Raw genomic sequence first — 24,477 nt, forward strand, 5'->3', positions numbered from 1 at the left:
CGGCTTTCAGTGTAGGGAACCCGAGGGCAGAACACTATATTGTGGGGAGTTTTTGAGGAAGGAAAAAGGGGTAATTTTTTCTCTTTAACGTCTACACTGTAGTGCTTCCTGCTTTCCTTTTTATTATGGAAATCATGTGTGTTGGTTATTGCTCATTCCTGATGCTGTGTTAATGTAGCTGTCATAGGAGTGCACTCATATCACCAGTGCTGTGTGTGCGTTCATACTCCTAACAGTAACTACTGTCCTGCCGGCAGAGGTGTTTCACCTGCAGCTCAAATTACTCTTTTTTCACTGGAATGAAAAGCAAATTACTTTAGAAATTCCTTGTCTCTTTCTACCAGAAAGTCTTTATTTAAATAGGAATCATTTTGTGCTCTGGAAGGTCTGAGGCTGCTTGTGTTTTCTTTGTCTGCATAACAGGAGCTCTGCAGGAGTCTGCAGGTCACCCGGAGCAGGACGGGGAGGAGCTGAGCCGGACCCTCCACCTGGAGGAGGTGGTGCAGGAGGCCGCCGGCGAGTGGCAGGCCCTCACCCACGTCTTCTGATGCGAGTTGGAAGTACACCTTTAAGAATGTTTCTGAAGTTACGTTTTGTGAAGAGCAAAGCACTTGGAATCTCCGTTTTAAAGCTTCAAGTGTTAAAAATGCTACAATAGTTTTTTATCTATAAAATTATCTAAAGAATCATTGTCTTTCAGAGACTCATAGGAAAAAAAAACTAGGAAAAGTGTCACCGCATTGTTCTCTTTTGTCTACAAATCACTGAACTCAGGTACTACTGTAGGCAGTTTCCTCCTCAGTCTCCTCCGTGGCTAGTGTGTCTAGTTCACGAAGCAATTAACTGGGTCTTACTATCATTGTAGTGTGATTTCTTTGTATTAGCAAAGACAAAAACGCTAACATTGAAAAAGTATGTCAGATTTTCCTTCATGTTTCTGGTTATAAGAAGCATAGCTTACAAAGCAAGCGTAAGATTGAGGCATGAAGTTCAGAAAAAAAAGTGTTACAACACACAGGGAAGTTTTTTCCACTCTTTTCTCTGTGCATTTTGAAAATTAGTCAAAATGGACTCTTTTCAGTCTACCATAAGTTAATATAACTGATACCTTGAGAGATGGCTGGACCAATTCTCTCCATGACAAATGTTTAATCATTAGTTACAAGAATGCAGTATCTGGGGCGTCAACATGGGGACTCGAGTAAACCTGACCCACCAATAAGGATTCAGCTGTCCACACGGGCTGGCGACACACTTACCGCATCAATCTGTGTTCAGGTCCAGGGTTACATAATTGCAGAAGCACAAGCCATACATCGCAGGTAGGAAACCACAGAACCGTCTGCAAGGAGCAAGCAACGGTGGCCCTGTCCACCCCAGCAAATAAGAAGCATATCTGTAGCTTAAGGCCACGAATCCGTAAAAACCCCATGACTTTCTCTTCGTGCATAAACAGATGTATTTTTGATTTCAGGGAATTCTTTAGTATCGTCAATGGTGCCACATAAAACATGTCCCAAACCAAATCCCACCCGTGCTGGGCAGAGTGCGTGCACGCCATTCCTACAGCATTCCAAAGATGGAAGGTTCTTTACTTCATGTTAATTTTTCCTTTGAAATTATTTATATGTTCTATATATAAATACATATGTACATAGATATATGGGCCTCTGTGTGGCTGAACAGTATATTTTGTAAATATAAGTACTAGTCCTAATTGCAGAAAGAGCGTCAGTTTCACCTCCCCACGAGCACTTCAGATCAGTATTGTATTCATTTTATTCATAAATGGATATCTTTTTCATTGTCATATAAAGCTGGGTTTTATTTTTTTTTCCTGAAAAATAATTGCCTTTATTTTCTCTCGTTGCCTCCTTGGTTTCAGAAGAGAGTAGTTTTATTATAAATATTGTATGGACTTTGTATATTAAGAGAGGAGCTCATTTCAGATTCCTAAAGAAATAGACATTTTACTGTTATTTTGAAAGGGCATCTTTTGATTTTTTTGTTGTTGTTGTTCACTTTTGGCATATGTATATAAGTAATATTGACGGTGATATGAAAACTTTTGTTATGTGAAGATATTTAAGTCAGAAAATTGTTAAATAATATTACTTCTTTTCCAAACTGCTTTGTGTATTGTATATTTTTTTAAGAAAAAGAAAAGCCTTATTTGACTTATGCTTGTGATACTGGACTTCTTACCAATCCGGAGGTTTCCTTCCTTGAATGTCAGTGTGTAAACCTGGCTGTAGCCGCATATGCAGAATAACTGTAATTGTGCTAGAGTTTTAAAGGTTCTGCTTTTAATGCACTTTTTATTTTATAATTTTGTATTGAAATATTTTAGAAATGTTGATTAATTTTGGTGAAAAAATATCCCCAAAGTGGAAATTATTGGAATTTTAAACTTTTGTTCTTGCTGGGTTATTTATTTTGATTTTAGCATTAAATGTCATCTCAGGACATCTCTAAAAGGGGTTGTTTAATTCCTAATTGTATAGAAAGCTAGTTTGGTGAATTGTATTGGTTAATTGACTGTTTAAGGCCTTAACAGGTGAATCTAGAGCCTACTTTTATTTTGGTTAAAGAAAAAGAAAATATCAATAATTCAATTTTGTGTCTTTTCTCAATTTATTAGCAAACACAAGACATTTTATGTATTATTTCGATTTACTTCCTAATTATAAAAGCTGCTTTTTTGCAGAACATTCCTTGAAAATATAAGGTTTTGAAAAGACATAATTTTACTTGAATCTTTGTGGGGTACAGGTTGATCTTTATATTTTACTGGTTGTTTTAAAAATTCTAGAAAAGAGATTTCTAGGCCTCATGTATAACCAGGGTTTTGAGGATAAAGAACTGTATTTTTAGAACTATCTCATCATAGCATATCTGCTTTGGAATAACTATAAATAAAAGATGAAGTTAGGAAATGTGATTAATTTTTTTCGTTTGAAAATATTTAAGATAAAACAGTTTGGCATGTAAATTAATTTCAAGTTCAGATATTTTTAAGAGAAAACTTTAGTGGTATTTTCCTTTACCTCTGTGAAGTTCAGAGGCGTTTACCCCTGCAGTGTCCACTGGAAAGGCTTCAGACTTTCAAAATCAGGGCATGGCTCCGCGACAGCGAGCCGTGGGCGTCAGCACAGTGCCCTGTGCATGTGTCAGAACTGTTCCTGTTCCCTTTCATTTGCTGCTTTATTCAACGGCACCCAGTCATTGAGGAACCTTTTGAAAGTTCCTAAGTGTTTTGATCCTGCTTGTGTGCTCAAGTAACCATGAAGCACTGAAGCTGAAAGAATGAATTGCCTTTGCAAAGATACCAAACGTGAAGGTGGGGTGCAGGTACTGAGGAAGCAGGAGGCATGTAGCATGTGTGGAGTCCCACCTGCTAGATAATGCCCAAGCGGCTGCGTTTCCATAGAATGGCAATAGATGAAAATGAAGACATGTTTTCAAACATGCAGATTGAAATGCTACCCCACCCCCATCAAGCTCTACTTTTTCCCCTTTGAAAAACTTGAGGCACTTAGAAAGTATCTAAATAGAGGAAATGCTATGACATGGCATCTGACAGCTTGCAGCCAGGTCAGTGGGAGGCTCATCAAATGCCACTCTCCTCTTCCTGACAGTGTTCTGCTGGTGGGACATGAACATCAGTGCTTGTCTGGCACTTAACTAGGGGATGTTTCCTTCGTGCATATTTTCTACTCCCCTGTTGTAATATTTTAAGGAAACTTGATCTTTGAAATTATAGCTAGTGTTCTGTGTCTTCCTTTGAACTCATATCACATTTATTACAAGAGACGCATGTGTTAGCACAGCTACACAATTTTTAGAAGTAGAAGTGGATTTCTTGTCTTGCTGTGGGTTTTCCTCATTTTAGAAGAATATTTGTAACTCATTAAGATACACATTTTAACATGAAATGACCATCACACAGATTTATGTTTGGAAATATTCAAGATAAAATAGTTTGGCATGTAAATCAATTTCAAGATTTATGTACATAAGATTTTTAAAGGAAATAGGTAAGATATATAGAACTGCTTTCTAGTGTATATTAAGGCTATCTCATGCCTGCTTCTTACATTTTTTTCTGAAGCTTATTTCAGAATTAATACCGTGCCCTTCCCTGACTAAAAAAAGTTAATCCAAGGATTGATCGTTGCGAATGTATCCCTTTTCCAAGACCTACTGCATAGGAAGTAAGTGAGGCAGAGATGAGATTATGCGGCGGATACTTCTGAAGGAAGCGTTCTTTTTGTGTCACTTAATCTGTGTTCACGTAACTTAGGCACTTTGGATTTTTTAGAATGAAATTTCAAAAGCGCCTACACGCACCACCCAATTTAATGTCGTATCTGTACTTGGGGCCTCTACACCTTTCCCATATTCTAATGAAAAGATCGTACGCCAAAGGCCACTGAGCTGGCATCTTCTTCATTGTGGAGAAAGTGGGAACCACAGAGCTTTTCGTGGGCCAGATGCCCACATATTCCTAGCAGAGACATGTTCTTTGTCATGGTGTGGCTTGCCACAACATGTCCTGTTTGGTGGCTGGCCCTCTCCGAACGGATTCCCCTCCTCAGACCCCCATGCACGGATGAGCACATAGCTCACCCTCACCCTCACACACTCACCCACACACTCACCCTCACACTCACCCACACACCCTCACACTCACCCTCCCTACACAGGCATCGGGGCAGTTCTTTATATGGATGACTAACAACTAAGAAAAAATGAAGATTAGTATGAATGGCAGGAGCAACAGGCAGTCAGAAGAGATTTTTCTATTTAATCTTTTATGTGTAACACTTTACAGCATGAAGACGTATTCTATCAATATTTGTATCATAATTGACAAATTCTCAAGTGACATAGGGATTTGTTCTTGATTCACCACTAAAGAAAATTTTTAAAGTTAATTTTTTTTAATTACAGAAGAATTCTCTTTTTATCTTCACAATTGTTTCATGATCTATTTATACATTGGATGATATTTATTTAATCCAGTTTTGTATTAGAAATGGATAGTGATGCCAAAAGCCACCGTGCTGGCTTTAAAAATAATAAAAATAGTTTTTGTATTATTTTAAAACTCCTGTATATTTACTTCTTTGGGTTTTGGGTGAGTTGTCACTGTTTAAAGGCGGACACTTCCTCTAGGTCACGTTTGCCATGGCTTAACACAATAGAGCAATGCTGAGTTGGCAACATATTCAAGCCCAGAGCATTTAAATCCTGGAGGATGTCCCAGATTCCTGCTCTCTGCTTTCTCTCGTTTGAAAGGTATTAAAGTGACTTGAAATGCCGTGCGCATCCATCATAATATCAGTGTGTCTGTTTATGAGAGATGCCAGATCCTGGACTTCCCAGAAGCATCCATGGAGTTATTTTATGTCGTCGGGCTCTTTGTAAAGATATATTCATCTATTTTACTATGCCTTACATTTCCAAACTGTTAGAGAAGTTGGTAATTGAGAGAGTCATCATCCTGTTGAAACAAGAGATTTCAATATACGTTTTCTTGGCACTGAGTAGGGACTCCACGTAGTTTTGGACTGAAAAAATTAAAGTGATGTTGACTTCCTGAATTTGGCTAAGAGGGAATGGTTAAGAAATTGCTTTACTGTTCTTTTCGCTTCTTTCTTTCGTTGTAGGAGGCATATTGCTCTGATAGATTTTGAAATAGAGTGGGTGAGGGAAGCGCTTTGGATCCCACTACGATGGATCATCTCAACTATTGGCAGTGCTTTTCCAGGTGAGTTTTGCCCAGAGGCTGGACTCCCTGTGATAGCGAATAGAGTGCTGTCCCTTAAGCACAAGCAAAGGCTTGTACCTGCAAGTGTGCTGTGCGCTCTCAATGCTGCGAGGGAGGTGGCGTGGGCCCCACTCAGACGAACTCTGCCTCTGACGGCTGCCTGTCCCTGGGCCAGCCAGTCACATTCTCTAGACCTGGCTCCTCGTCCCTGGGGTTAGTTGATTGAATTTCTTTCTTTCCAGCTCTGCCTTCTACTTCTATTCTCAGTTAACCGACCACATGGTATTGGGAATCACTCTCCATGGGCCCCTTGCATTTCTTTGTGTTATATCCACATGCTCTTGTTGGGCTGTTTGTACAGAGCGCAGCCTGGGGAGATGGCGATGGCCTCTTTCTCCAGCACGAAGGGACGTTTGCTTACTGATCAGTGTAATCAAGACACTGTTGCCCTCCGTACCAAAGGCCAGGCAGGTGCACTTCAAGTGACCCCCCTGTCTTGGCCTCCTGAGCAGCTGAAAGTCCGCTCCTCAAGCTCAGGCCCCTCCGCCACCACACCACCCACTGTGTGTGCAGGCATCTCCTGGCCCACTTTGCGTCCCACTTCGGGGCTGGGGGCTCAGATGTTCAAACAAATGCTGACCCTCTGGCTACTGCTCCTGTTACTGTGACTGAAATCCCCTTTGTCACCCCGGAGCCCACGTCCTCTGCCAGCAGCCAGGAGGCTGGCAGGCTGTCCTGAAAGGAAAGTGGGGAGAACCTGCGATGCTTCATGGCTGCTGACACCGTGGTCAGCCCTGGCTCAGCCTACAATATGCCTGGAAGTTGTTAAAATAAATGTTACTGATTATTCCTCACTGCCCACAGTGCTGCCCCCATCATTGAGGACCTTCTCTTGTGACCTGGCACCTTTGAAACATTCAATCCCTTAAGGCACTACAGAAAGAATGACAGATGACACAGTGCACATCCACGGAGACGCCTCACACGCCCCTTCTACCAATTAACAGATGCTTCCCCAGTGTTGTTATTCTGGGCCAATGAAGAGAGTTTTACGTTACTATTTTAGTAATTAGAACAAAGAGATCATTGGTTACCTTGGTAACCAAGCTCTATAAGAAAAATTCTTACATTTAACGTGAGACAGCTCACTTTGATGTTATCTCAGCCAGTTTTTTAGTAGTTCTGGGTAGAGATGGACAACAACTGGCCATCTACCTTGAGATGCTCCTTTTATTTTTGAGTTAGGCTCTTACTTTGTCACCCAGGCTGGAGTGCAGATCATGGCTCACTGCAGCCTCGACCTCCTGGATTCAGTGATCCTCCTACCTCAGCCTGCCGAGTAGCTGGGACTACCGGTGCACACCCCATACCCAGCTAATTTTCATTATTTTGTTAGAGACAGTGTCTTGCTATGTTAGCCAGGCTGGTTTCAATGTCCTGACTTCAAGTGATCTCCCCGCCTTGGCCTCCTGAGCAGCTGAAAGTACAGGTGGGAGCCACTGCTCCTGGCTGAAGATACTCTTCACCATGCGCATTTTCTAGTTACCTTTCAATCATGCTTCTCAACTTTAGTAACGCTAAGTCTTTGTCCTTTCCTTTTCTTTTCTTTTCTTTTCTTCTTTTCTTTTCTTTTCTTTTCTTTTCTTTTCTTTTCTTTCTTTTCTTTTCTTTGAGACAGAGTCTTGCTCTGTTGCCCAGGCTGGAGTGCAATGGCGTCCTCTCGGCTCACTGCAACCTCCGCCTCCCGGGTTCAAGTGATTCTCCTGCCTCAGCCTCCTGAGTAGCTGGGATTACAGAACGCATCACTGCACCTGGCTAATTTTTGTATTTTTAGTACAGACGGGGTTTCACCATGTTGGCCAGGCTGGTCTTGAACTCCTGACCTCGGGTGATCTGCCCACCTCGGTCTCCCAAAGTACTGGGATTACAGGCATGAGCCGCTGTGCTCAGCCTTTTTTTTTTTTTTTAAGCAGTTTCAAGCTTACAGAAAAGCTGTAAGGCAAGAACTGAGAACTCTTCATGTGCAGGCCTCCATAGACCCCAGTCACGCGCTGCCCATGTCTGAGTGACGGTGTCTTCCTAGCACACCACACTTGCCATAGCCCGGTACTGCTTATAGCTCTGAAGTTTGCTTGCCACGGTACAGATGAAACTGTCTCCCAGGAGACCTGAAAGCTGCCCAACCTGTGTGGCGGGGACATGATCTTAAGGGCTTTTGCCACAACCTGTGGTAAAGCAGGCAGGCAGGCCGCTGACCCCTGGTGAGCTAACAGCCTGGCCACCACGTTGGAAGGTAGATTCCGACTCAGGATCATCTCTAGTTTTCACATGAACTTTAAATCAGAAGCGGGAACTTAGCTGAGAGGTGGAGGGGCCCTGGCTGGTGCTGGCGGTAGTGGAAGGAGTCACTGTTTTATGGATGCCCTCGAGTCTTGACCTGTTAGTGAGCTCCAGGAACTTGTAAGATTCTGGAGCTGGATAAACAAGCCATTTCCCGGTGGTGGGAAGTCGAGGTGAGGGGCTGTAGAAGGAGGAGCCCTGGCCTGCATCACTGAGACGAGGTTGGAGGTGCCTAGAAGGTGGATGAGTGCCGGTTGCAATCAGGCTGTTTCTGAAAAACCAGACCACTCATTTTCCTTCTACGCAGGTGCGGTCACACGAAGTTGCTCCGGCATCTTGTGCTGGAGTGAGCTGTGGTGGTTAACAAGCCACACAGCCTTGCCTGTGCTGTTGGGTCAACCTTGCCTTCATATCCTATCGTTTAGGATTTCAGTGACTATTTACTATTTACAATAGAGGAATCACAATAGAGAAATATGCCAGCGTGCTTCACTTCATATTATGTTTTTTTGGCAAAGAGGCAAGAGTACTGCAGAGTCTTGGATTTAATTATAACATCTTGCCAAATGGTGGCTTAGAAAATATTTGTTGTTGCATGAGGGAAAATATATTTCTGTTATGGATGGAACTGTGTCCTCCCACAATGTGTGTTTTGAAGCTCTCACTCCCAATGCCATTGTGTTTGGAGATGAGATAGATAGGTAGGGGCTTTAGGGAGGGAATTCAGGTTGGAGATAGGGGCTTTAAGGAGGGAATTCAGGTTCAATGAGGTCGTAAGGCCAGGGCTCTTATCCAGTAAGACTGGGGTCCTTAGATGAGAAAGAGACACCCGAGGTCCTTCTCTCTGCCGTGTGAGGATGCATCAAGAAGGCGGCCGTCTGCAAGCGAAGGAGAGGCCGCACCAGAAACCGACACCTTCATCTTGGACTTGCAGCCTCTAGAACTGAGAAAATAACTGTCTGTTGGTTAAGCCACCCAGTTTGTAGTATTCTCTTATGGCTTCCTAAGCAGACTAACAAACAAACACCCAAAATTAACTGATGGCTTCGCTGTCTTCTGTAAAAATTGCTATGAGAGAACTTTTCACTCACTGTTTTGCAGTTTCTCCCTCAGTCCCTGGTTCTTTCTTCTCACATAATCCCAATTTCAATTTATAGTTCATGGCCCAGGCAGAGTCATTCATCACGGCATCTCCTGAGCTAAACCAGCACCTGCTCTGCTCACTTCTTGACTGGCTGCTCATCATCAGCCCTCTGCAGAGATTTCATTTCCTCCGTGCCAGGTACTTCACGCACCAAGCTCAGAGGCTGCCCTATCAATTTCATACGCGTTCCCTGCCCCTACAGACGGGCAGGCCAGCTCTGAATGGCAGGGTGTGGCTGGCAGTTGGAAGCGTGATCACTACGGCTTTCTATGTTCAGTTCCACAGACCCTCACGGCCCCTCTAGCCTCTACTGACTGTGGTCCTGACAGCCTGCGCAGGCCATGGGGAAGGTCCTGACAGGCTGCGCGGGTGGTGGGGAAGGGCATCTGCGTCCATGAGGCTGGGGCTCCAGCAGCCCCTCCTCTTGGCTCTCAGCCTGGTAAGTTAATTTCCAGTCACCTTCAGGAGAAAGTAGGCGGGCCTCTTCAGGCAAGCGTTCAGTGAGCACACAAGCTCCCTGGCTCAGTTCCTATCTTGCTGTGTTTTATTTTAAAATACTCACCCAAGTATTGTACTGTCATGGTGAATGCTAGCTTATGATGTACCCTTGGTTTGCCTTTTAATGCATTTTCCACATATGTTACATTTAGACTTGCCAATGAAAAGAATACAATTTTTAAAATGTAATTATCTTTGCATGATTTTCCAAATTCCTCAGTTGGAAGGGGTCTGGGCAGAGAAGTGTAGCCAGTGAACGTGGGCTTTCTGTCTGCCACGCCTGCCAGGCGAGCTCAGGTGGCCATGCCTCCAGCCTCGGCAGTTTTTCCTGCTATTGCAATGAATGCAATCATATTCTCAAGCTTCTCACCCTGCTTATCATGCTGGAGTCTGAGGCTCTCTGACCCCCGGGAAACAGGAGCATGTAATCCTACCCTCATTCAGCATGGAAGTTCCCCTTCATAAAGGTCACAGATGCAAAGCATTTCTCACAGCTGCTGCTGAGACACGGAGGGGAACTGGTGATTCCATTAAAAGCAAAACAAAGGCTGGGTGCGGTGGCTCACGCCTGTAATCCTAGCACGTTGGGAGGCTGAGGTGGGCAGATCTGCTTGAGGTCAGGATGGGACCAGCCTGGGCAACATGGCGAGATCCCGTCTCTACAAAAAATACAAAAATTTTAGCTGGGTGTGGTGGCGTGTACCTGTAGTCCCAGCTATGTGGAAGGCTTTGGCAGGAGGATAGCTTGAGCCTGGGAGGTTAAGGCTGCAGTGAGCCAAGATTGCAGCACTGCACTCCAACCTGGGTGGCAAAGTAAGATCCTGTCTCAAAAGAAAAAGAAAAAACAAAAGAGACTTTCGTCTATCTTTTTGAAGAAAAATTCTTGTAACCAAAGGTAACTATAAGTAAAACATTGCTTCACGCTCTTTCATGCTTTCAGAGAAAAAGGTGGCAAGGGGAACACGTCCAAGACTCCTGGGTTCACATCTGCAGGGTGTGTACACTAGCCACACAGCAGAACACAGACAGACTTGGAAGCTTGTCTTCAGAGACACTAAATATTTTTTTCCTGGTGAGAGAATCAGTGCCCTAACAACTACCTCTGTTCCACTTTCTTCAGTAGCCATCGACCCTCTGATGAGGATGCCCCCTCCAACAGGCACCGCCAGGCAGCCCTGCCTGGAGACCCAGAGGCACCGAGTCACATTTGCTCTGCACACCTGGCTCTCGCTTGATGTGGGCCTGTGTGCTACAGCCCGGAACACAAAAGAAGACACCCATGCAAATACCATTAAAAGTTTATTGTTTTATTTCAATATTCAGGAACAGTGTACACTTTCCGTTCAGCCATCGTCACAGCACGTGCTGTGTGGGTGCGGCCACGTATGGATCGCAGAGCCGACCTCAGCTCAGCGACGCAGAGTGCTTCTGCTGAAAAATTTGGAGGTTTGTGTCTGGAGTTTTGTTCTTTGTAACTCTCTCATCATCGAGGCTATATATTAATAGACATGGTATTAAGCCCACACGAAACATTCAGAATTAGAATTGGATTAAGAAGACGCGTTTTGGCATCACGCTGACTACTCCTCATCTCCGTCCTCGGGGAGGGTGATGCCAGCGTGGGACTCTTTGGAAGGCCTATCAATCACAGGTGCGCTAAAATCAAAAGGTGGGTCAGTAGGTTAGGGAGGGAGGCGCGAAAGGAGATGCCAGCGGGTGTTAAGAAGGATATGGTCAGAAGAGCTCTTTGTCTCCATCCACGGGGCCGTCTGCTCAGCCCGTGTGTCTCGGTGAGTAATTCGGGAGCAGGTGCACGCCTGTGCCTACTCGCTACCACGCGTCTTCTGGGAGGAAGTGAATGAGCCGGTTATCTTCTCAGGGAGGGTTAGTGCTGGCCACTGTGCACTGCCGCTGCCAGCACGCCCGGTCACAGCCAGTGTCTATGGGCGACTGGCGCGGCTGCGAGGCTGTCTAGAGGACTCCTACCCTTCTGCTCTGAGTGCGCAAGTCTTCCTGGACTCTCCGGCTGTGGGCTGTGGTTTGGAAACGAGGTTGTTCATAGAGGCTGCTCTGGGGCCACCATGCAGGGCAACGGTGACGTCCAGAGGCCACCTGCTTGACATCTCCATCACCAAATCTCCAGGAAGACCCTGTTTCCTATGTGAGGCCATTGCCCAGCCCACGTTTGCCTCCTTTTCCTCCCTCTGCCACACGCGAATTCAGCTAATTGGGGTGTGTGGGCAGCCACGGCCTGGGGAGGTGGCCCCCTCTCTGTGCTGCCCCACGTTGGACTCTAACAGCTGCCCAGCCCGCATGTCACATACCAAAAGCTCCCACATGTAGTAAGCCACTCCTTGACTGTCTAATCCTGTTAGGAAAAATGAAGTCTACTTTAGGAGGTGAGAGAAGGACAGGAAAAAAAAACAAAGGAAGCTTGGATGTCAACAGTCCTCTCTGCCGCCCACGTCCTCTCTGTCTCTGCAGCTGTGTGCCTCCATGGCAGTGACCAGCAAAAGCGCAAGGGTGCCGCAGCCACGGCGAAAAGAAAGTCCAAGGGTGGAGGGGTGAACGTGGAGGGACGTCTGTGCACCTGGCCCCCTGAAGACCCACGTGCGTCTGGGGGCACATTGCGGGGGAAGGAACGTGATCTTCACACAGAAAGGGACAGTTTTAACCGTTTTCTGTTTTCATGTTCTCATTTAACTGTTGGCCGGAAATTGCCGGTAGGCTGCCGTGGCCTGACCCTACTACGTGCACAACTCCGCAGGCATTAGGGGAGGGGTCATCTGCTCTAATTAGGTAACAGGGGCAAGTGGGATTAAAGTTTTAAGGCAGTTATATTAAGAAGCTGAGGACAGGATTCCGGAACCAGGTGGGTTTTCAGCGTCTAGCCATGGGTGATCCAGAGCGACTATCTCTTCCTCCCTGAAAAGGAAGAGAGAGGAGTTAGGACGAGAGTGCCGCAGGGTCCTCCCACACCAGCATCCCCTCTTCTGTGGTCCCGGGTGGATGCTGAGCCATTGGGTGTCTCTCTCATCTGCTAATAGAAATGGCACCCCGGAGAGCTGGTCTTTTCATTCCATTTCTCCCGACCTCCCTCAGCAAATGCTAATTGAATTTCCAGTTCTGTGAGAGAGAACTGGAATCGGATTCCCAGGCCCCAGGGAGTGGTGCCTGGCATAACCACTGCTCTGCAAAACAACGCTGCACTTCTGTGGGTGAAAGTGCAGCCGCTCCATTGCTTTGCTTTGAATGAGCACTTTTTCTCGTCAGCTAGAGGTGCCAGGGCAGCCGAGGGGAACTGCCAGCGACAACAGGAGCAACTTCTTTTTCGGCGGGACCCTAGCACACCCCTTGCTACACGCGCCAGCAAAGAGCAAAGCCACGTGTCCATCCCTGGGGACGTCCCTCCTATGTGCCATCTCATCTGCCACACCAGACAAATCAAATGCACAGAGAGCTTTGTCTGCAAACTTTGACTTGAAGGGGTCTTAAAACCATGCATTTACACGTTTGGGGGACAAATAATTTCGATGTTTAAAAGAGAGTTGGCAGCTAATTGAGATGGTGCACAGGTGTGCTGTGGCCCACGGTGTGGAGGTAGCCAGGCGTGGCCATCCCTCTAGAAAGAGGAATGCGTTGGTCACTCAGAATGTCACTTAGATCGACGAAGCAGAACTGCACTTTTTTTGCATTCAAATTTTTATTCAAAGTTTAGTCTCTCTCCTTGGGTTTCCCCTCTTTTATGAAATGATCAATTTTGGCGAAGAGCCCCCAGAAAGCAAGATAGAAAAGAAATATGCTCTTTACCGTGGCCGATCAGCAACGAACCAACACTGTCCTCATCTAATTCTACGTCTTCCACACTGCCCAGTAACACAAATAACCAGAGCGCAGACGCCAAGAATCCTTCCAAGTAACGCAGCTAACAGACCAAGGTGACAGTTCTGACTTCTTGGGGGGTTTTCCAAGTACATACGTAGCATTATAAACAAGCCTCTATGTTGTGCTTACACAACTCACTCAAGGGATTTTTGTTTTCACAAGTGAAAACGTTTATGAAATGCTAGCCTGCGAAGCCGCTTCAGGAACCATCTAGTGAGATTTCCCTCCCAAGACAGGCAGCTTTCTCACATACCGTGGAGGCCTCCTGCCGGCCTGGGGACTGACAGGTGCAGGGCCCTGCCCCTCGAGGGCCAGCCTCTCCCTCGGGAGCGTGGGTTTTTCCTGTTTGATCCTGGCTTAACTTGAACATCTCTGGCATTGGAGCTGCCCTCTGGAGTAGCCCAGAAGTTGGCACTCACCTCACCTTTTGCTGCATTTCCAAGAGATCAGCCTTTGGACTTCCTGGAAAGTGGTAGAACCACTGTCCTATGAAACAAAGTGCTTCTGTGCTGAAATGGAGTAAGTTCCCTGCAGCCTCTGGCAAGGTAACCTACCGAGGTACAATCTTAACTTTCTTGATGCCCCCTTTTGACATTGAAAATGGTGGGTGTATTGGTTTTACTTTTTATCATTGAAACTACAATTTGTTGAGCACTGACCATGCAGGAAACCCGTTTTTCCCCGTTTTCTCTTTTGTGCTCACAGCACCTCCTGGAGTAGGTGTTCCTATCATCCTCTCTTTATAGCTCAGGAGCCAAAGCTCAGCCAGCCCGAAGGAGCCAGGATTAGAGCCTGCATGGATGCAACAGTCACGCTTCTCTCTATTACGTGTCTTGCAACTTGGAGTCACATGATCTCAGCATCTGATCCACCCTGGGCTCAGGTCAGTATAAGGCTGAACTCACAAGGTGAGGGTTAGACTGACCTCCTCTCTCAGGACAGGAAAAGAACAGAGCCTACTGCAAAAGGCAGATACTCTTGCCTCCACTTTGACATCTCACAACTCCACAGCAACACTACAGGTGGGAAAACATTCACATGTATGTTCGTGGAAACTAATGCACATGGAAACAGGATGCTCCTATGATGTTCTGATGTAGTTTCCGAGTGATGGGGGGACATGCATAGTTTTTTCTACCCAGTTCCTACCGACAGCGCTAGACTTCCAGATTTGAGTGTTTTCCTCTCACTACTGATTTCCAACAGCACCAAAAAGAACAGGAAGGAAAGATGGTAAAATGATGTTAAATGCTATGAAGTCCCTGTCCTCTCCATCTGCCTGCCTCTAGACCCCCTCATTTCTGGGGGAGCTGATTTATTAATCTATTGGAAGTGCTCCAAGTCAACTAATTCAGCCATATGGCCATAGTAGGCCAGTTATGAACTTTTTATGCAGTAAAATTTAATTACAACCATATGATTTGAAATTTGCTTTGATACATAGAAGCTTCCCTTGAACTCTACAGAAATTAAATAATTTTTAAAAGCTTCTTACAAAAAAGTTCAGGGAAAATACTGAACTTATTTCAGGAAACACATGTGTATAGTACACTGGTTATATTTGCACACAGTAAATGTGCAGATCTAAATGCAGCTTTCTGTTCCTCAGGGTGGTCTTGGTAAGCTCTGGCCTTGCAAGCATCTTTGAGTGACTGGTTGTAAGCCTTGCATATATTGCAAGGACAATATTTGCTAAATGGGGCCCCTCACTCATCTGGGCCCTCCCATCAACTCTGAGCCAGCACTCAGCTCTCCCGGTGTGTCTAACAGTCCTTAAGCTGGTAGTGGAGTAATTAGTTTTCCAGATGGGATGAATCCGTGTTTCCCAGGTGAGCACGGTGTCTGCAAAATCATCACAACTAGCAACACCTAGTTCGCCCTTGGACATTCTGACTCAGTGAGGCTGTGGCGGAGCGCAGATAGGGGTCTGGGCGTGCATCCCAGGCGATTCAGAGGCAGGTGACGTGCTGGCCAGGTGGGGCGGGGCCGTCCTGACTGCAGTGCTGGGTTCAGACACTGCTCCCCGGGGAGCCTCATCTCCGCCCTCTTGTGGCCACATCCCAGAACTGCGGCAATGTACAGCATGATGGCCCTGAGACTTGAATATTTGGAGAATTTTTTTCTTAACTCAGAATTTACGTTGAGGAGTGGATCCTGCCTACCACTTCATCTGACATAAAGCTGCTTACTTAGCAGCTCAGTTACTCCCTGCTCACTTCACATATTAAAAGCTTCTCCTAAGACCGGCTATCCTTAAGAGCAGGGGCTGTGCCCTGAATTGCCTGTTGTCCACAGAACCTCCCAGAACCTCCCAGAATCGAGGCTCACGGCAGAGGTTCTGCACTCACCAAGGACGCGGGGGGACCATGTCTGTGCTCATGTGGATCCCCGCTGCTGGGCAGAGCACACCACACATCCAGACTCAACAAAATACATGGAGTCAAAGGTCAGGTGACTGAATCAATGAGTATGTTACACACCAAGAAAGACCCCTCCTCTCTGCACCCCGGGGAGCAGCCCCAGAAGCCTGGTCTCCTCCAGGATGAAAATGCAAACGCAGGTGCCTGGGGGCTCCCAGAGCCTTTGGCTTCACGGTTCCCTCCCGGCCCTGCCTGGAGCTTCATGTGCCTCCCCTTTTGCTTAATGAGAGCCGCTGTCTAAGAGTTAAGGGTTTTCTGGGTGACGTTTAACAATAATAAAGGTGACTGCTTATCTAAGGAATCCGAGCCGCGCACCTGCCAGCCGCGTTTTGTGTTTGTCACTACCTTTTACTTTCACAGCGATTTTGTGAGCTGAGTGGGCGGGTTACCTCCATTTTACAGATGAGAAAACCAAGTCTCAGAGACAGAGCTTATAAACAGCGGGCCTGGCATTCGTCCTGGGTCTGGTTCCAGGTCCTCATGAGCCGACGGGACACTCCCCACTCCCTGGAGGTCTCCTGGGCATTCCCTCCCGTGGCTCCAGGGATCTCCCCCCGACACCCACGTCTGCTTGACTCCTGCTTTAGCTCCCTGAGGGCCCCAACCCCTGGGCATGAGCAAGTTGGACTCCAGCTGGGCCCTGCCCCAGAGTCAAGGTCAGTCGCCTGCTCCAGGGCCCCTGAACCAGCCCAGGCGCAGCCCTTCCTCAAGCACCTCCGGCTTCACATGCATCTCGGAGGAAATCCACGCGTAAATGCGGGTGGGCAATGCCACCTGAGCCCCTGCACGCCTGCTGGGACAGAGCACGTCCAGGGTACAGTGCGGCTGAGCCAGAGGCGGCAGCCACCCTTGTACTCAGCTTAGTTGGGGATTCTGGGAGCCCTTAGTCCCCGCTCAGTGGAGCTGAGCAGAGGGTACCTTACCAGCTTAAAAATTTTGGAAAGCGTGCCCTGGGCATCGACTCCCTTGAATCCCTTGTGAGCCGATTTATAGTCGGACGCTCTGCCTCCGTAGCCAAATCCTGGTCTCTGGCCTTCGGCCCCCTGCAAGAGAAGACCACGGAGCTCAACCTCCACCCGCGGTGCTGGGCACGCTGCTTGAGCCACTGGGAGCTGCCACCAGGGCCCCGGGGAAGGGCCCAGGCCCCGGACTGGACTGGTGAGTGGTTCAGGAGCCACGGGCCAGCACCACGCTGAGGGGGTGGGGGCGGGAGAGGCTGCTCCCCCAGGTCTACCAGGGTGTTGGCCGCAGAGAGAGGAGGGCTCTGGTTTGGGCGGAGGCTCTCTCATGAGATATGCGGCCCAACCACACATATTTTAAGGATCTAAGTCGTTTAGGGAACAGTTGCTTACCTTCACGCTGTGGGGTGTTCAAGAGAAGATTAGCAAACATCAAGCAAATCAAGGTAAGGAGGCTCCTGCCTACACGGGTTTGGAGGACTCGGACCCTGGGGGGCTGTGCGCTGTGTAGGTGCCGGTCCCCGGAGGCCCCGGCCTGCGCCTTTGCTGGGGGCTCCTTTTGCTGATTGATTTGCACAGATTGGATTCTGGTCACATGTGCCCTGTGGTTCTAGGATCTGTCTGGGAGATCAAGAGTCCTCGGCCTTAGTAAAATGTCGAGCCTCGTATCTTTTATAAGGTTTTGAGACAAAATCCTGAGCTCTCTCCCAGGGTGAGCAGGAATCAGTCTCCCTTGGCCATAGCTCGGACTGGGAGCAACAGGAGGCCGGGGCTGCTGAGCCGGACAGAGGGAGGAGGCAGGCCTGGCTGGCACGGGGGGCGGCCGCATCCTGGCAGCAGCGGGACAGCGTCTCAGCTCCCCCACCTCCCAGTCCCCTAGCACCTTTCTAGCTCATCCGGCTGTGTGGCCTTGGGCAAGGGCAGGAACCTCTCTGAGCTTCAGTTTCCTCATCTACGCAATGGGGCTGTGCGAGAACACAAGCCGTTCATGGAGATGCCACTCCTCAGGTGGAGGCTGCCAGCTCTGGGCTTTGGTGCCAGCTGTCATTTATGGAAGAGCAGGCCGCCCTGCCCTGGCCTCATCAGCCCCAGCAGCCCCTCTGGCTTCCTCATGGGCCGTGTGACCGCAGGGGCTTCCTGACACACATGGGTGCGAGTGTCCCAGGACCAGCCTCTACTTGCTACTGTGCTGTCTTCTCGAGTGGGAACTCCACTGCAAACATGGGGAGGAAGGGAAGGAGCTCGCTGTGGGAGTCTGGGCGCGGTGGACGTTAACAATGGGGGGCGAAGTGTCCTCCCACGGTGGGTGCACTGTCTGTGGGAAGGCTGACCACGCTGTTAGCTTTTCAGGGATCTTGGTTGGCCTCCTGAGTCTCTACTCAATGGACAGGGTCCAGACTGCACTTTACATTTTGCCAACAAGAAATGGGAGACTGTCCTTGAGCCCTCTCCTGAAGACTTGAGGGAACCAAACCAGACTGTCCCTCCTCTATCAGCCTGCAGCCTTTCTTCCATTTCATTAAAGTGTTTTAGGACAGGGAGGACCTTGACCAACCTAGCCCATCTCTTATTTAGAGGTGAGGAAGATGACACCAGAGGCCTCAAGGCTTCCAGAGCACCTGGCTGCACCCTCAGCCTCTGCTGGGGGCTTCCCACCATACAAGCTACTTGCACAGTTTTCTTTTCATTCAGCCTGTGCTTGGGAGTGAGCATGGCCACTCAGAACCAGGCAGCTGCTTTCGTGTGAACAGTTGATTCGGGGGCTATCCAGTGAGGTGAGGGACGGGATGTGTGGCAAGAAGGTCTAAGCACTGCACACGAGGGGACAGCCAGCCTCGCTCTTGCGTCCTAGAGGTTTCCAGGTTCATGCTCACTCCCTGATGGCAGAGGGCAGGTTGCCAGCCTGGCTCTACATGGCAGAAAGCCACTTCCCTGCAAGCGTTAAGTCCTTCTGTCTTACTCTATTGCTTTTCTCCAAAAATAAAGCATTTTTGAGAGCTAAATCCGGGGATTGACTTTCAGATTAACAATCTGCGCGGCCTTTCCTCCTTTCCAATCCTTAGTCATGTTTATCTTTGGGGAACCTAGAATGTACCAGGAAACACACAACACAGCTTAGAAAGAGAAAGTGGGGGCTCTCTGGAACTCCAGACAAGGAGAGAGTCCTGCGGCTCTGGGAAACAGACAAGCAGACAAAATGCAGAGAAGGATTTTGCTTTGGAAAAAAGAGAAATTCAACAGACATTAGTAGGACCCAAAAGGGAGAGATGCAGGGAGGAATGCAAGGGTCTTTCTTGTTAGCTGCTGGGGCAGAACGGCCTGTGTGCAACCCCCCATCGCTCCACATTCAGGGAGGATCCGGCACGACGGCCCCAAAGTCCACTCCTAGAAAATTAAGAGCAGATAAAGCAGTAGCTAAAATAAGATTTCTGGGTCAAAAATGAATTTCATTCTTCTATCATCTTTGTCTCCTGCTGGCATAGAAAATAAAAAATTAATTGTGAGTACTAGTCCATGTACATTTGCTACATGATTGTCATCGTTTTGCAAATTCATTAGGTCAGAAAAAGCAAGTCAAATATGCATTAATGGAAAACGTTTCGGTAAATATCTTAGTTCATAATTCAGTGTAATCATGTGTGGGACTGATCTGGGATCCTCATGGTCTCTCAAGTACCCTGCCCCTTCCTCCCTCTCTTCCTTCCTCTTCCCCACCTTCTGTTTTCTTTCCCTGTTCTTTCTTCCTGTTCTTTCTCCTTGTTGTTTTTCTTTTAAAATGTATTCATTCATTTATATGATGCTTATTAATTGAGCAGAAAGTGTAGGTAGGCTCTGTTCTAGCGTATGAGAGCATTGCAGTTTCGGAGACAGACACAACCTATCTACAATACGTTGGTGGTTATTCCTCCATTTTATTCTAAAATTATAACTTTTATACAGTAAGAATCATATCTGGTATTTGCTAGTAACTAAAGTCTGTAAGTTTGGTTAGAATATAATGATTGGCATTTTAATTTGGCTCAGACACCAAATTTTTTCACTAGAAAGTTCAAATTGGCCATTTTAAACCTTCCTTGAAAGTTTGCTTTCAGTATTAACCAGCCTAAAATTCCTAAGGAAGATTTTCTGGATGGCTTGATATCTATGTTTTAATTATTATTTAAACACATACAAAACAAAAATCTTTGGATTAATGAGGTTATTATAAATCGAGCAACTCTATTTAGCCTCTTTTTCTGTTCATCAGCAGAATCATTTTCCCAGTGTCAGCATCTGGGGTCACTGAGACGGGCCAGCCAGTCCCACTTCCACATGCGGGTTCCTGGGGCTTCTCGCACTGGTTGTGTTGGAGGAAGTTAAACATTTTCTCGGACGTGGTGTTGCTCCCTCCCTGGGAGGGAGACCAGTCACGTCGCCTGGGAACCCTCTGGGAGAAGAGGATCTGGCCTTGCAGGGCTGGGTCCCCGGCACAGAAGCAAGAGACCAGACCTTCCGGAAGGGAAGACCACGTTTCATTTCCCCAGTGGAAGACAAGGCGGCCCGATCCCAGCTGTGGGCAGAGAGGTCTCGAGAGGAGAGAAAAGGAGGCCAGGAAGCAACCGAAACAGAGCAGAACACAAAAGTTGCGGGGCTGTGAGGACTGGGACGGAAGAGGAAGCCGATGGAAGTGCGTTCGTCACCTACCCAGCTAAATCTGCTCAGGGACAGTCCTCTCCCCTGCATGAGGAAGACAGAGAAATAATGACATGGTGGTCAGTGAAGGGAAAGTCCTTTCAATCAACAGGAAACACAGTCAAAGCACAGTGGAGCTGAGGTGGTAAAAACAGGTTCCACCCGGAGCTCCGAGGGGGGCCGCAGGCTCAGGGCCACAGCGGCTGTGCAGGTGCGGGAGGGACAGGAGGGGTGCATGGATCTGCCGACCTGTTCTACTTGGGAGCTGCCTGGCAACACGTTTTGGGATGGATTCTGGTAGCTCGGAGCCTAACTCTCTCTTTGGTACATTATGGGATTTTAGAGAAGGTCTATCAGAAAAGTGATGATCAATCAAAACATTCCAAGGTCTTACCTTTCCCTGCGACGGGGGTGGTGTGCGAGGCGTCACCTGGAAAGACACAGAGAACCGTGGGCTGCACTGGGAGCCCTGTGCCGCCGTCCATTTCCTAACGGGCTCCTGCCTGCTGAGGGTGGCTAGCATCCATCAGCTGCCAGAAGCACCCGGGTGCCCAGCCTCCCCACTTCTGTCCTAGTTGGTGAAGAAGTATAGACCTGAGATTGAAAATATTCTAGATGATGCAGATCTCCCAGAGCACTCAGGAAGTGTTTCAGAGGATGGAAAACACCTCCCAGAGGCTCCGTAGCTGGGGAATGGGCCCATCTTGGGACACTGAGGGAGGCGGCGGACTTTGCTTCACCGTGAGCCCTTTCCGGGGCTAGGAGTAGCGGGCCCTCTGACATTCAGAGCTTCCAAGGGGATGTCCCCAGGTCTGCAGCTCCTAAGTGCACTTATCGAATACGAGCATAAAATGTCTGCTGCACTGAGATCTTGGAATTAGAAGCCTGTGGTTTTGTTCTTGTTTTTAATCGTCTTCGTTTTGCATGGCACTTTTCGGTTTACAGAAAAACTGTGCAGAAATTAGTTTCCACATACCCCGAACAGTTTCCCTTATTAGCAACACTGCCTTAGGGCTCTCTCGGTGCTGTGCACGCTGTGGGTTTGGACAAGTGCGTGGTCTTCAGTCACCATGGCAGCCTCGACAGAGCGGTTTCGCTGCCCGAAAAATGCCCTAAAAATGCCCTGTGCTCTCTCTGCTGCCCCCTCCGCTCCCAGCCCATGGCAAGCACTCTCCATAGGTTGCAAAGCCTGTGTTTTTAGGCTAAGCGTTACATGGGAGCCTAATCTCAAGAGAAGTGAGCTCTCTGGAGAACGCACGGAGCGCACGGTGCAATCCGTGGCAGATACAGTCGGGAAGCGCTTGCCTGGAACTCGCGATCAGGTGCGAGGGGGGAGTTCCCCGGCCGGCCTCACCCTGATGATGACCCCGGTGCCACCCCCGAGCGTACGAACGTCCTGTGTGGATGACAGCAGTGGCCAGCACCCCTCCTCCCCCTCACAGTTGCTACCTCTTCCCATCGATCGTCACTTACAATGTTCTTGAAGAAGTGGACTACGGGGTTTTCATCTTGGGTCCGGCCGTGTGACTTCTGGGGCAGGGAGCCGTAGTGAGCAGTTCTTGCCGGGTGGTGTGAGTCCTGAAACACAGAGGCGCGGTGACCTCAGGACAAGTCCACAGTCCCTGCGGCTTGTCCTCCTCAGGGAAGCTGGATCTCTCCTCCTTTGTAATCTGGATTTTTTTTTTTTTTAACAGTCAGGAATACTTTATTAAGGACTATTGTGATAGATGGTATCTAGACTATCACAATGGGGAGAGAGATGGGCTTCAACTCCACGAACAGTAAGAACAAGTGGAGATTTGTAGCAAAGCAGCAGGTGAGGATGGGGTTGGGAGGTGAAGAGTTAGAGGGGTAGGAAGGTGGGATGGTGTGCATTGCTCGGTGGGTGGAAAATTACTAAGAAGAGACATAAAGGGTAGGGAGGATTCTTGCTAAACTGGCCTAATATGATTCTTGCAGAAGGCAGGCCAAGATGATCCTATATCACTCAGGGGATGGTGAGGGATGAGGGATTTGATCAGATTTGGAGGGTGATCATATATCAAGATTGGGAAGATCCTGTCTAAACTAGCTTAGCAGGATTCTTGGTAAAACTGGACTAGGCAGGCTTGAGGACAAGGCCCATGGAGGAGGCTTAGTTGAAAAGAGGGCTTAGAAGAGCCTGTCTAAAGTTCAGTCAAGGAGAGTGTCTTTGTCACCTTTTAAACTTTGTCTATGCAAATTAGGGTGTGTGTGTGCTTGTTTGTGTGTGCGTGTAGGATGGTAGGTTGACAGGTGTACAACTAGTGATCTGGATTTTTTAAGGGCTTCTACTAGGAAGCCACAGATGAGCCACCAGACACACCTGGGGCAGCTACGGGCTGGCAGCAGCGGGTTTGGGTGTGCGACTTGCTGGGGAGAGATTTCTATCACCGACTCAGTGTGCGGCTCTCCTGAAGGTGAACAAGCAAATAGAGGGGAAGTGACGGTAATTCAAGGGGGATTCCATCTGAGATAGGGTCAGGTTGGGCAAAGCACTGAGAGAAAAATATTACTTATCCCCAGGCTTCTGGGCTGAATACAGGAAAATGCTCGGGAAATACACACAGAAAAACACACAACAGCATGAGGCAGGCAGCTCATGGGCTTTGACGCGGCTGCATAACATGAGCTGGTCTCTGCTTCTCAAAGTAAGTGTCTCACGCCACACTGACACCGGGCTGATTTGGGAATATCACTTCCACATCTCGAGTAAGAGGAAGCGGAGAGGGAAGAATGGCTGGGCATGAGTGCCCAGGGCCAGCTGGTAATCAACAGAACCAGAACACTCCAGGTCACTAGAGATCGCACAGAAGATACAGAGTGGTAAGCACTGCGAGAGGTTAGCTCACAGTGGAGGGAAGGGAAAAGCCATGAGCGCCCGGGGGCAGGGGAACACAGGGGACATGGGGGCAGGTGACACAGGGGACATAGGCGACGCAGGGGATGCTGCGGCTTTTGCAGACTTCATGCATTGTCTGCTCGGCTCTCAGCTCAACTGCAAAGGCCCAACAGCGGTGAATGCGCACCAGGCAAGAGGGCTGATTGTGAGTTCTCAGAAAAGCAAAGGAAAGGGACTCGGGGGAGCTTGCGAGATTGATTTTGTCAGTTTTCCCCTCGCTTTCTCACTGCTGCTCCCAGATGCTACTTGTTCAGAAATAGCCTGCATGTAAAGAGCCCACACCTCAGGCAGGAATGAATTTCTGGAGGTCAGAGGAGCTCTGGCCCCAGGCATGCTGGCTGCGCCCCGTCGACACAGAACGCAGCGGAAGCAAATCAGTTAAATGCACGGAAGTCAATTGAAGTATTTCCCTCCAGTCTGTCAGCTCTATGCACATTGATTGGGAGGACCCCTTGTTGTTCAGAAGACAGTTTTGCCACCAAAGGCCTAACTCGCCCTGAAAAGTGCGCTTTTCTGGGATTTATGGTAGTGCACGGAATGGTGGAATTCAGTGGGTGACAACTGCATGCTGCAGCCACAAAGGACAATGTTTGCAGAGTGTGCTGCGTTTCGCCCAGCACCGACATTGTTCACCTCTGTGTCTGAGCCCAGACGGGGGTCTCCACACGGCACACATCAGGTCTGAAGTTTTGCTGGCACTGGACTCTTTCCTCTGCCCTCCTTCCCTACTCGATCCTCTTCAAAGCAGCGGTTCCCAACCTTTTTGGCACCAGGGATGGGTTTTGTGGAAGACAGTTTTTCCATGGATGGGGGTGGGTAGGGGAACGTTTTTGGGATGAAACTGTTCCACCTCAGATCATCAGGCA

The 24,477-nt window shown here is 48.1% G+C and overlaps 2 protein-coding genes and 1 long non-coding RNA gene across 30 annotated transcripts in view, besides 5 other annotated features; 2 read left to right on the top strand and 1 right to left on the bottom strand.

The window, feature by feature from the left end:
* ZNF236 (zinc finger protein 236) overlaps nucleotides 1-5,110 on the top strand; it is a 150,345-nt gene extending 145,235 nt beyond the window's left edge. For all 5 annotated transcript variants that reach the window (NM_001306089.2, XM_011526165.4, XM_047437793.1 and 2 more), the window contains one exon: nucleotides 424-5,110. In NM_001306089.2, the coding sequence (NP_001293018.1) occupies nucleotides 424-548 (125 nt within the window). In that variant the 3' untranslated portion in view covers nucleotides 549-5,110. The remainder of the gene's footprint in view (nucleotides 1-423) is intronic.
* Nucleotides 5,111-11,041: 5,931 nt separating this feature from the next.
* MBP (myelin basic protein) overlaps nucleotides 11,042-24,477 on the bottom strand; it is a 154,876-nt gene continuing 141,440 nt past the window's right edge. For 8 of the 21 annotated variants that reach the window (XM_047437523.1, XM_047437521.1, XM_047437528.1 and 5 more), the window contains 3 exons: nucleotides 22,165-22,269; nucleotides 21,086-21,121; nucleotides 19,912-20,736 (listed from right to left, as the gene is read on the bottom strand). In XM_047437523.1, the coding sequence (XP_047293479.1) occupies nucleotides 20,299-20,736; nucleotides 21,086-21,121; nucleotides 22,165-22,269 (579 nt within the window). In that variant the 3' untranslated portion in view covers nucleotides 19,912-20,298. Of the gene's footprint in view, nucleotides 12,681-16,983; nucleotides 17,104-17,412; nucleotides 17,420-19,911; nucleotides 20,737-21,085; nucleotides 21,122-22,164; nucleotides 22,270-24,477 lie in introns of those variants that run through there. The other 13 variants (XM_047437533.1, XM_047437532.1, XM_047437530.1 and 10 more) reach the window with 4 other exon arrangements.
* On the top strand, nucleotides 12,638-16,361 carry MBP-AS1 (MBP antisense RNA 1). Of its 4 annotated transcripts, none has more exons than XR_001753507.3 (3): nucleotides 12,638-14,198; nucleotides 14,387-14,523; nucleotides 15,936-16,361. It is a non-coding gene; the product is annotated as an MBP antisense RNA 1 (long non-coding RNA). The 4 variants fall into 4 exon arrangements; XR_935667.3 differs by having other exon boundaries at nucleotides 12,638-14,185; XR_935666.3 differs by having other exon boundaries at nucleotides 12,638-14,159.
* Nucleotides 13,517-13,576: an enhancer, noted in NCBI's record as "active region_13516". NCBI's record gives its function as "activates an Ori minimal core promoter by ATAC-STARR-seq in GM12878 lymphoblastoid cells {active_cell/tissue: GM12878}" and the evidence as "EXISTENCE:reporter gene assay evidence [ECO:0000049][PMID:35858748]".
* Nucleotides 15,102-15,951: an enhancer, noted in NCBI's record as "H3K4me1 hESC enhancer chr18:74694849-74695698 (GRCh37/hg19 assembly coordinates)". NCBI's record gives its function as "activates a minimal SCP1, AML or CMV promoter by ChIP-STARR-seq in naive H9 embryonic stem cells {active_cell/tissue: H9 hESC(naive)}" and the evidence as "EXISTENCE:reporter gene assay evidence [ECO:0000049][PMID:30033119]".
* Nucleotides 15,751-15,840: an enhancer, noted in NCBI's record as "active region_13517". NCBI's record gives its function as "activates an Ori minimal core promoter by ATAC-STARR-seq in GM12878 lymphoblastoid cells {active_cell/tissue: GM12878}" and the evidence as "EXISTENCE:reporter gene assay evidence [ECO:0000049][PMID:35858748]".
* Nucleotides 20,471-21,670: an enhancer, noted in NCBI's record as "CDK7 strongly-dependent group 2 enhancer chr18:74700218-74701417 (GRCh37/hg19 assembly coordinates)". NCBI's record gives its function as "activates an origin of replication core promoter dependent on BRD2, BRD4, P300/CBP, MED14 and CDK7 cofactors, with strong dependence on CDK7, by STARR-seq in HCT116 cells {active_cell/tissue: HCT116}" and the evidence as "EXISTENCE:reporter gene assay evidence [ECO:0000049][PMID:35650434]".
* Nucleotides 21,472-21,521: an enhancer, noted in NCBI's record as "active region_13518". NCBI's record gives its function as "activates an Ori minimal core promoter by ATAC-STARR-seq in GM12878 lymphoblastoid cells {active_cell/tissue: GM12878}" and the evidence as "EXISTENCE:reporter gene assay evidence [ECO:0000049][PMID:35858748]".

This window comes from Homo sapiens, chromosome 18 (genome assembly GCF_000001405.40).
Source record: "Homo sapiens chromosome 18, GRCh38.p14 Primary Assembly".
NCBI classification, from domain to species: Eukaryota; Metazoa; Chordata; class Mammalia; order Primates; family Hominidae; genus Homo; species Homo sapiens.